General features: G+C 44.8%; 1 protein-coding gene, 1 long non-coding RNA gene and 1 pseudogene across 5 annotated transcripts in view, besides 3 other annotated features; 1 reads left to right on the top strand and 2 right to left on the bottom strand.

The window, feature by feature from the left end:
• PPIAP4 (peptidylprolyl isomerase A pseudogene 4) lies at nt 223-956 on the bottom strand (annotated as a pseudogene).
• Nucleotides 5339-6011, bottom strand: SEC23A-AS1 (SEC23A antisense RNA 1). Its single transcript, NR_146545.1, has 2 exons — nt 5780-6011; nt 5339-5606 (listed from the first exon to the last, which is right to left on the bottom strand). It is a non-coding gene; the product is annotated as an SEC23A antisense RNA 1 (long non-coding RNA).
• Nucleotides 5701-5930: a silencer, noted in NCBI's record as "silent region_5686". NCBI's record gives its function as "represses an Ori minimal core promoter by ATAC-STARR-seq in GM12878 lymphoblastoid cells {active_cell/tissue: GM12878}" and the evidence as "EXISTENCE:reporter gene assay evidence [ECO:0000049][PMID:35858748]".
• SEC23A (SEC23 homolog A, COPII component) overlaps nt 5916-11021 on the top strand; it is a 71317-nt gene continuing 66211 nt past the window's right edge. For all 4 annotated transcript variants that reach the window (NM_006364.4, XM_005267262.2, XM_011536355.4 and 1 more), the window contains exon 1: nt 5916-6119. The gene's annotated coding sequence lies outside the window, so the exon portion shown is untranslated. The remainder of the gene's footprint in view (nt 6120-11021) is intronic.
• Nucleotides 6091-6210: a silencer, noted in NCBI's record as "silent region_5685". NCBI's record gives its function as "represses an Ori minimal core promoter by ATAC-STARR-seq in GM12878 lymphoblastoid cells {active_cell/tissue: GM12878}" and the evidence as "EXISTENCE:reporter gene assay evidence [ECO:0000049][PMID:35858748]".
• Nucleotides 6231-6310: a silencer, noted in NCBI's record as "silent region_5684". NCBI's record gives its function as "represses an Ori minimal core promoter by ATAC-STARR-seq in GM12878 lymphoblastoid cells {active_cell/tissue: GM12878}" and the evidence as "EXISTENCE:reporter gene assay evidence [ECO:0000049][PMID:35858748]".

The following is an 11021-nucleotide window of genomic DNA, read 5'->3' as shown; positions in this document are numbered from 1 at the left end:
GGTGGAAAGATCACCTGAGCCCAGGAGGTCGAGGCTGCAATAAGCTGTGATCCTGCCACTGTACTCCAGGCTAGGTGACACAGTGAGACCCTGTCTCAAAAATATATATAAAATATAAAATAAACAATTGCTATTTGAACAAGAGTTAGAAAATCTAGTCTTGTCAGCATTTAAAGAGGAAAAGACAGGCATGAAATGAAAACTCAGTGTTGTAGGTTTTATTTGTTATTTAGTTTTTATTTCATAATTATAAACTTAACTCTGCAATCCAGCTAGGCATGGACGGAAACAAGGAAAACATGGAACCCAAAGGAAACTGCAGTGAGAGCACAAAGATTATAGGATACTGCGAAAAAATGGGGTGAAGGCGTGCTCTATTGAGCTACAGACAGAATGGTCTGGTGGTTAAGATAAAAACACAAGTCAAACTTATTAGAGTTATCCACAGTCAGCAATGGTGGTCTTGGTCTTGCCACTGGACCCAAAGCACTCCATGGCCTCCACAATATTCATGCCTTCTTTCAACTTGCCAAAGACCACATGGCCTGCCATCCAACCACTCAGTCTTGGCAGTGCAGATGAAAAACTGGGAACTGTTTGTGATGGGTCCAGCATTTGCCATGGACAAGATGCCAGGACCTGTATGCTTTAGGATGAAGTTCTCATTATTAAATTTCTCCCCGTAGATGGACTTGCCACCAGTGCCATTATGGCATGTGAAGTCACCACCCTGACACATAAACCCTGGAATAATTCTGTGAAAGAAGGGAACACTTATAATCCAATCCTTTCTCTCCAGTGGTCAGAGCATGAGTTTTCTGCTGTCTTTGGAAACTTTTCTGCAAACTGCTTGAAGGAGACACGGCCCAAGGGCTCGCCGTCAACCACGATGTTGAAGAACACGGTGGGGTTCACCATGGTTGATAGTACAGGGCTCCGGCAGTGGTGTCTGCAAAGCCAGTGTTGTAGGTTTTAAATGAGCATCAGCACCCTGGCCTAGGGTGTTGTTAAGTGTGCCACTTCTCTTGTCCTCACATTCATTTGTCATGTATGGGGATTAGACTAAATGATCACAAAGGCTTGAGTTTACTATTCTGTAATTTCCATGTGACTTATTAATTAGCCTTATTATATTTAATACAATTGTAGTCATTATGAGTGCAGAATAGAGGATCAGACAGATGTTATTCCGTGAATATAACTTTAACACACTACTGGTGCTGAAAATTCAAAATTATAAGAATCTGAATATTGCTTTTTCAAGTGACTACTCCAAAAATAGTTGGCCAGTGCCTTAACCTGTCACTATCTGAACAAATGGAAGAGAATCCATGTTAGAAAAAACTACAAGTGCTTCATCAATACTAGAAAACAGAGTAAACCTAAAAAGGAAAAGTAGAGGTGAAAGCTCCATCTGGTGGTTAACATCTACAGTTCCAAGAAATTGACATTATACTTCACTGACTGTAGTACTGGAACCTCAGTTTAGAAATACCTGTGGGTTCTGAAGTAGGAAGATTACTGGCTGTTACGTATTAACTAATATTTAATGGTGGAAGGCAAAGTCTTTCATAGGGTGTTTAGAATACTTGACTCAAGATAATCCCTGGGAAAAAAGTTGCAAGGTCAAATATCTTTAAGAAATGTTCTTGGCTATACATGTCTTTATTCGACCACATAATCTTTCCCTCTCTTTTTAGTCTCTGGCATTTTAAGAAATGCCAGTTTGAGGAAATAGTGAACTTAGGAGTATTTGCTTTTAAAAGACTTTCTTTTGAAGGGAGCTTATATGAGATTTTATATTTTTTACAATCTCTTAGATGTTCTGACCTTCCTTTCACAGGAGTTAAAAAAAATTCCATTCCCTTTCTACTCTTCCTCAGGTTGAAACCTCGTAACCAGCATACTGGAAAAAATTATAGGTGTGGTAGTTCATACCTATAATCCCAACACTTTGAAAGGCCAAGGTGGGAGGATCCCTTGAGTCCAGGAGTTCAATTCCAACCTAGGCAGCATAGCAAGACCCCATCCCTATTTAAAAAAGCAAAAAAAGCCCACGCCTGCAATCCCAGCACTTTGGGAGGCCGAGGAGGGCGGATCACGAGGTCAGGAGATGGAGACCATCCTGGCTAACTCGGTGAAACCCCGCCTGTACTAAAAATACAAAAAAATTAGCCAAGCGTGGTGGCGGGCGCCTGTAGTCCCAGCTACTCGGGAGGCTGAGGCAGGAGAATGGCGTGAACCCGGGAGGCGGAGCTTGCAGCGAGCCGAGATCGTGCCACTGCACTCCAGCCTGGGGGACAGAGCAAGACTCCGTCTAAAAAAAAAAAAAGAAAAAAAGGGCCAGGTGCGGTGGCTCACGCTTGTAATCCCAGCACTTTGGGAGGCTGAGGTGGTCGGATCACTTGAGGCCAGGAATTCAAGACTAGCCTGGCCAACACGGTGACATCCCTGGAATTATAGGCGTGAGCCACTGCGCCAGCCTGACTTTCATCTTTTTTAAAGCATAGCTTGGAATAATTGATCAGTAAGGATGAAATAATTCTATGGATGATGAAGTAGCAGAACGTTTCAACATACAAAAAAAAAAATTAGTAAATCCCACTATGTGTCCTAGATGTATAAGGGTCCAATGGATCTATATGGGAATTGTAAATAGAATGAGTTTTATTCTATTTTTTAATTTTATGTATTTTATTTTTGAGACAGAATCTCACTCTATCGCCCAGGCAGTGGCACAGTCATGTAATGGCACCATCACGGCTCACTGCTGCCTTGACCTCCCTGGGTTGAGGTTACTCTCCCACCTCAGCCTCCTGAGTAGCTGGGATTAAAGTCACACACTACCACGCTCTGCTAATTTTTCTATATTTTTGGTACAGATGGGGTTTCACCATATTTTCCAGGGTGGTCTTGAACTCCTGGGCTCAAGGGATCCTCCCCCTTCAGCTTCCCAAACTGCTAGGATTACAGGTGTGAGTCACCACATCTATTTTTTTAGAAAATAAATTTTCTCTTTGTTGTTTGGAAGACTTCTACGAAGGAACAAAAAATCATGAAATATCAATCCTTAAGAGTAGAGCCCAAAAACAAAAAAACAACCCTGAAAGGCTAAAGTTGGGTCCAGTAGATCCTGATCCTGATAGTATATCCAAGGATTAAAGCCATTCATCATTTTTTTTTTTTTTGAAACGGAGTCTCGCTCGGTTGCCCAGGCTGGAGTGCAGTGGCGTGATCTCGGCTCACTGCAACCTTTGCCTCCTGGATTCAAGTGATTCTCCTGCCTCAGCCTCCTGAGTAGCTGGGATTACAGGCGCCTGCCACTGCGCCTGGCTAATTTTTGTATTTTTAGTAGAAATGGGGTGTCAACATCTTGGCCAGGCTGGTCTTGAACTCCTAACCTTGTGATCCACCTGCCTCAGCCTCCCAAAGTGCTGGGATTACAGGTGTGAACCGCTGCGCCTGGACTTAAAGTCATTCATCTTAAAGCACATAAAGACAGATGCAACTGAGTTTGTTATGCATCCTAACATCTATTTCATTGTAATAGGGAATTAAAACCTTTGATCAACTGAAAACAAAGGAATGATGAATTTTTTTTTGTTTTTTTTTTGAGATGGAATCTCGGTCTGTCGCCCAGGCTGGAGTGCAGTGGGGCGATCTCTGCTCACTGCAGGCTCCACCTCCTGGGTTCACGCATTTCTCCTGCCTCAGCCTCCCGAGTAGCTGGCTCTACAGGCGCCCGCAACTATGTCTGGCTAATTTTTTGTATTTTTAGTAGAGACAGGGTTTCACCATGTTAGCCAGGATGGTCTTGATCTCCTGACCTCGTGATCTGCCCACCTCGGCCTCCCAAAGTGCTGGGATTACCGGCGTGAGCCACTGTGCCTGGCCAGGAATGATGAGTTTTTGAAAAGACTTCATTGAGCTGGATGGTAAAGATGCCTTTCTGGGAACCATGAAATGAATGAATCTACCAAAGGTACTATGCTTTGATTTATTCCTCGCTGGATTCCAGGATTTCTGTGGATCTTCTCATCAATGTTGCTATGGTCTGAATATTTGTGTCCTACCAAACTCATAGGTTGAAATCTTAACTGCTAAGGTGATGGTATAGGGAGGTAGGGCCTTTGGGAGGTGAACAGGTCATGAGGGCTGGCCTCTCATGAATGGGATTAGTACCCTTGTAAAAGAGACCCCAGAGAGCTAGCCAGCCCCTTCTGCCATGTGAGAACAAAGAAGGCACCATCTATGAATCAGAAAGCAGGTCCTCACCGGACACCAAATCTGCTGGCATCTTGATCCTGGACTTCTCAGCCTCCAGGACAGTCAGAAATAAATTTCTGTTGTTTATGAGCTACCCAGTTGAGGGCATTTGTGTTAGCAGCCTAAATGGACTAAGATCTTTTTATCCTACTCATTCTTAGATCTTGTCGCTTTTGGTGGGTGTACTTATTCCACCTTTATAACAACACCTCTGCTGTGTGCTGTTAAGAATCTTCATTAAGGTAGCACCTTGAACCTACTTTATTTGGAAGCCTACACTAATTTTTGGCTTTCGATTCCCATTGCCCTCTTCAGGATTGTATTACAATTTGACAAGCAAACATCCTCTTCCACCTTCCAAAACAACTTTAGTACACACATTATAGAAAGGGAAATATGTTTGGTGCTTTTTTTTTTGAGACAGTCTCACTCTGTCACCCAGGCTGGAGTGCAATGGCGTGGTCTCGGCTCACTGCAACCTCCGCCTCCCGGGTTCAAGCAATTCTTCTGCCTCATCCTCCCGAGTAGCTGGGACTACAGGAGCGTGCCACCACACCCGGCTAATTTTTGTATTTTTAGTAGAGACGGTGTTTCACTATGTTGGCCAGGCTGGTCTCGAACTCCTTACCTTGTGATCCGCCTGCCTCCGCCTCCCAAAGTGTTGGGATTACAGGCGTGAGCCACCGCGCCCAGCCTGGTGCTGCTGTCTTATTTCTCATGAATATGAGCTTTCAAGGACAGGGACTTGATCTTTTTTTCCATTCCATAAAATGTTGATATGGCTAAACTTTGCAGGCTTTTAGGCGTTGTCATATATGCAATTAATTCCATGGGCACTTAATTTCATTCCCCTCACTGAAGGAAGGGGTTGTCTGAGACCACCAAGCTCTAATGTCTTACCAATCTGTTGCTTTCTCATTTTGTTCAACTTTTTTCTTGGAAAGAAAAACATTGAACATATCAAGATGAATCAGCCAAATATTGTACTGTGTGTGTGTTTTGGGGGTGGGGGGAGACAGAGTTGAAGTGGCAGAGGCAATGTAGGAGGAAAAGACAGGCTGACTAAAATACATAAATAGTACGTGAATTCTTTCGGGCCAGGGATCTGGGCCTACTTTGCCTGCATCATATTACCAGCATCTCAATTGTGTCTGGCACATAGTAAGTTTCAGTAAACATTTGTTGCACTAAGTGAAAGAATGAACTTTTCACTTTTTTCAGAGATGTGATTTGTGATTCTCGGAATCAACCAGGGTCCTAAGATGTCCTGGAGGCCGTCTCCATTTCTCTCGGTGAGCTAAGGTGTCCGAGTGGCACCAGTTCTCCACTCTTTCTGCGACCTGCAGGGAGTGGGATACGCTGTGGCTTTAGGGAGCTGGGAAAGGCGCTCTCTCCCGGTCCCGCTCTGCCCGGTCCCACGCCCCTCGGCCGTCCGGCTGCCTGGGTCTTCCGGGTTCTTCCGCCCCTCTGGCTCGGTCCCCGCTACCTCTCCTCCCTCCTCCCCTCTCGGTACCTTCGCCCGCCGCGCGCCTTTCTCAAATCCTCCGGTTATTAAGCAAGCTCAGGGGTCCGGTGGCCTGCCCTGGTAACTCTGCGCCCGCCCCTTCCTGCCCCCTTCCTGCCCTCACGCCCCGTCCCCTCCTCTTGACGTGGCAGAGGCGGCGCCAGCCATGTTGGCCGGGCGGAGGTCTTCGCTGAGGCCCGGGGCGGGGTGGCGCCACCCCTGATTGCGGTGCCACGGACTGCTCCTGCTGGGCGGAGAGGACAGATTTTGCAAAGCGGAGGCTGCGACGGGTCCTGCAGGGGGACAGTGAGGAAAGGGCCGCCTCGTCTCCGCTCCTGGGGGACCGCAGGTGCGCAGCGGGGAGCGGGGGCGGGCTGGCGGCGGCGGGCTGGGGGCTGGGATCCTGGGGTGGTCCCGGCTCTGCCCTCTCGGTGCCCCGGGGCCAGCGAGGTGTGCTGGAGGCTGAGGCCCGGTCCGGCGCGGGGAGCGTTGAGTGCTGAGCTTGCCACCCTCTCACCCACTTCGCTCTGCCGGGGCCGGGGGCCCGGCCTCCTCCAGCTCCCCTGGATTAGGTGGAAAGATGTGGAAAACGGTGGTTCGAGCATCTCGCCCAGCACCCACCCCCACCTCCTGGGCCACCCACCTCCACCCAAGTCCATCATCGCCTCTGGGCCCTTGGACTTACTGTTTCATTCCTTGCCAGATATGGAGTGTCCTAGACTTTGAACCCAATTGACTACGTCACCGTAATTCAGCCTTGGAAGTTAAAGGGGTTAAAGGGGAAAAGAGCTTGGTAAAGATAATGCCTTGGGTTTTGATTACAAAGAGTTCAGTTTTCCAGCAGGACCAGCCCTATCTCACTGGGCTTTCTTTCTACGGTAGGTAGTGTTTCCCGATTTGGTGGTAAAGGTACTGCCTGAGGAAGGTCATAGTAAATCTACATCAATCACTGAAGTGGGGATGTGGAATTCTCGTTTTCACTTGAACTCCCTCAACCTCTACCGTCCAAAGCCATGGATAACTAGCCAAATTAACTTGGTTTAAAAAGGTTTTAGATTTAAATATAAATGCATGTTGAGTTTTCCTTCTCTTTCTCCTCTGGTAGTGAATGAACATCATTTCAGAAGTCCAGCTATTTTTTTTTTTTCTGAGACGGAGTCTTGCTTTGTCGCCCAGGCTGGAGTGCAGTGGCGCAATCTCGGCTCACTGCAACCTCCGCCTCCCTGGTTCAAGCGATTCTCCTGCTTCAGCCTCCCGAGTAGCTGGGATTACAGGGGCGAGCTACTATGCCCGGCTAATTTTTGTATCTTTAGTAGAGACGGGGTTTCACCATGTTGGCCAGGCTGGTCTCGAACTCCTGACCTCAGGTGATCCGCCCGCCTCGGCCTCCCAAAGTGCTGGGATCACAGGCATGAGCCACTGCGCCCGGCCAGAGTCCAGCTATTTTTAATTGACTTACAGAATTTTAGAGTTAGATGGGACCTTGTGATTTTCTAGTCCAAGTCTCTTATTTTGCTGATGAGAAAAACAGGATTCAGAGAGGTTAATTGTCCAAGATCATAAGAAGACAATTCATTGAGGATTTTGGAAGTGAAAAGTAGGAGACAAATTTAATTGGCAACTAACAAATACATGTAATTGGAAGGAACTCAAATTTACTTGGCAAGTACATTTTCAATTAGATATGAATAAAAGGGCTTAAAATTAGAATATTGAAAAACTATCATAGGGAAAGTCTTTTTTGTTTTTTTTTTTTTTGAGACGGAGTCTCGCTCTGTCACCCAGGCTGGAGTGCAGTGGAACGATTTCGGCTCACTGCAACCTCCGCCTCCCAGGTACAAGCTAAGCTATTCTCCTGTCTCAGCCGCCTGAGTAGCTGGGACTACAGGCGACCGCCACCATGCCTGGCTAATTTTTGTATTTTCAGTAGAGACGGGGTTTAACCATATTGGCCAGGCTGGTCTCGATCTCCTGACCTCATGATCCACCCTCCTCGGCCTCCAAAAGTGCTGGGATTACAGGTGTGAGCCACCGCGCCCGGCCAGGGAAGTCTTACTTTTAAAAGACTTGGGCACATATTTGATATACTAGGTTAAAGTGACATAGTGGTTTGCTTCTTAGCTTTTAGCTCTATTATGATAAATTATTTAACCAAAGTATATTGTACTGAAATTGGACATTTCTTTGTAATAGTCTTTTGTGTTTTGTATCACTTTTTAAAAAAAATAAAGACTAGTGGCTGGGTGCGGCAGTTTACGCCTGTAATCCCAGCACTTTGGGAGGCCGAGGCAGGCCAATCACCTGAGGTCAGGAGTTCGAGACCAGCCTGGCCAACGTGGTGAAACCCCATCTCTACTAAAAATACAAAAATTAGCTGGGTGTAGTAGCTCACGCCTGTAATCCCAGCTACTGGGGAGGCTGAGGCGGGAGAATCGCCTGAACCCGGGAGGTGGAGGTTGCAGTGAGCCGAGATTGCACCACTGCACTCCAACCTGGGTGATAGAGTGAGACTCCATCTCAAAAAAAAAAGAGACTAATATGCTAAGTCTGCATTCTAATATAGTGTGTGGAATAATATTTCTTTGGTTTAATACTTTTATGCAAACATGTTAGTATTAGGGGAGAGAGTGCTTATCAAATAATATCATGTTATGAAAAGCTAGTTTGTGGCTGGGCATGGTGGCTCACACCTGTAATCCCAGCACTTTGGGAGGCTGAGGTGGGTGGATCACCTGAGGTTGGGAGTTCGAGACCAGCCTGACCAACATGGAGAAACCCCATCTCTACTAAAAATACAAAAATTAGCCAGGTGTGGTGGCTTATGCCCGTAATCCCAGCTACTCAGGAGGCTGAGGCGGGAGAATTGCTTGAATCCGGGAGGAGGAGTTTGCGGTGAGCCGAGATCACGCCATTGCACTCCAGCCTGGGCAACGAGCGAAACTCCGTCTCAAAAAAAAAAAAAAAGTTAAGTTGGCTTGTAAAAGGACTTTATTTCAGATATGCCATTGTCGGACATGGGACTAAGCCTGGCAAATTTTGTAATTGAATTCGTGATTTTAAGATTGCATGACTCCTACTATGGAAAGGTGAGGGAAGTCAGGGAAGTGTTGTGCATAGCCATGTAATTGGACCAATTGAGAAACAGGTGGGATTTTCTTCAAACTACTGCTGGAATGTGGGAATGTAAGAAGTATAATAGATGTGATTTAGCAAGCAAATTGATCTTAGAGCAGGGAGATTGAGAGGAAAAAATGTGAAGAAGAGAAGAGAGTTGTGCCCAGATATCACTCAGGTGATATTTAGTATGTCTTAATAAGAAGTAAGAATGTAGAGATACAATCCAGCCTTTTAACCAGTTGTAGAAAGTTAAACCTGGCTATTGTCTGTGTGTGAATGTCTTCCTGCTAAGACTCCTGGAACCTTTCTTAGTGAGGTTTCCTAATGGTCCTAAGGCAGTGGTTTTCAGAACCCCTAACTTAAACATTATTGAGTATCCAAAGAGAAAAAAAAAAGGCTAAATAGAAGACAGGTGGGTTTTCATATCTGTTTCTGCAGTTTATTGTGATATATTGTTTTGGTTGAATTGTATGAAGGATTAATTAATAAATTAAAAGGTTAATTGCAGTGTGGAATCTGAAAGCTTAGGAGTGACCTTTTTGTACTTTGTTACCTTAAAACTCATTGGCCTATTCTACACTTTGAATGGATCATCTACCCATGTGTGATATTTTCATATCACAAATTGACGGTTTGGAAGATATTGCTTCACTGAGTAATGTATATCTTCTAAATGTTAATACATTTTGTTATATACTATCAAACAAATTACATTAATACCAACACTGATCTCATCAGAAAAATCTTTACATATTAGGAACTTGTCAAGCTTATGGTAGCAGGCACAAGTTTTAAAACAATTTAATGGCGGGGAGCGGTGCCTCAAGCATGTAATCCCAGCACTTTGGGAGGCCGAGGCCGGCGGATCACGAGGTCAGACAATTGAGATCATCCTGGCCAACATGGTGAAACCCTGTCTCTACTAAAAATACAAAAAATTAGCTGGGTATGGTGGCACGCGCATGTAGTCCCAGCTACTTGGGAGGCTGAGGCAGGGGAATCGCTTGAACCCGGGAGGCAGAGGTTGCAGTGAGCTGAGATTGCCCCACTGCACTCCAGCCTGGTGACAGAGTGAGACTCCGTGTCAAAAAAAAAAAAAAAAAAAAAAACCCAAAAACAATTTAATGTTTGCTTGAAAGCTCAAATTTTTATCATTGGCAAAAAATACTATAAGTTGTTTTCTATGAAGTGATAGGTTTACTTCATACATTTTTGAGAAAATATCTGTGTAATACCTAAGTACTAGTTATGTACTATCCTTGGGAGAATTGAGAAAACAGTCATTGAAAACATTTTTTGTTTTGTGTTTCAGCTATTTTAATGCCTTTTGCAGATGTGTTTTAGATGCATTTTATTTTTTTTTTTTGTTATGGCACATTAGAATTTTTATTTTTTCTTAATAACACTGGATTTCTTATGACTTATTTTTTGTCAAATGTAGTCATCCCTGTTCTGATTTCATTTTATTTTATTAAATTTTTTTTTTTTTTGAGAAGGAGTCTCACTCTGTCGCCCAGGCTAGAGTGCAGTGGCATGATCTCGGCTCACTGCAACCTCCACCTCCCGGGTTCAAGTGATTCTCCTGCCTTAGCCTCCTGAGTAGCTGGGATTACAGGCACTCACCACCAGCTCAGCTAATTTTTGTATTTTTGGTAGAGATGGGGTTTCACCATGTTGGCCAGGCTGGTCTTGAACTCCTACCTCAAGCGATCCGCTGGCCTCAGCCTCCCAAAGTGCTAGGATTACAGGCGTGAGCCACTGTGCCTGGCCTTAAAATTTTTTTTATTTTTAATTTTTGTGGGTACATAGTAGGCGTGTACATGCTTCTTAAATTATAGGAGCAATTAAGTAGTAAACACAATTTTATTTGCCTTATGTTCTGTATAATAAATGTGGAAGAGGTTTGCATAGTCTTAGAATTTATATTCACATCAGTAACATGGAAGCTGTTGCTAAAAACTGGATTTCTAATCTCCCCCTCACCCCCACGTCCTGGTTGTTTTTTCTTTATTGCCACCTATGTTACGGTGGAGTTTGACATCTTCTAACTCTCCTCTGAATATCCCACACCTTTGTTTTATCATTATCTTTCAACACTTTTCCTTGAAAGCTCATACCACCCTTCTCAAAGCTG

The sequence above is a fragment of the Homo sapiens genome, chromosome 14 (assembly GCF_000001405.40).
Source record: "Homo sapiens chromosome 14, GRCh38.p14 Primary Assembly".
NCBI lineage: Eukaryota > Metazoa > Chordata > Mammalia > Primates > Hominidae > Homo > Homo sapiens.
Note: the sequence above shows the minus strand (reverse complement) of the source record. Positions and strands in the feature narration are given on the sequence as shown.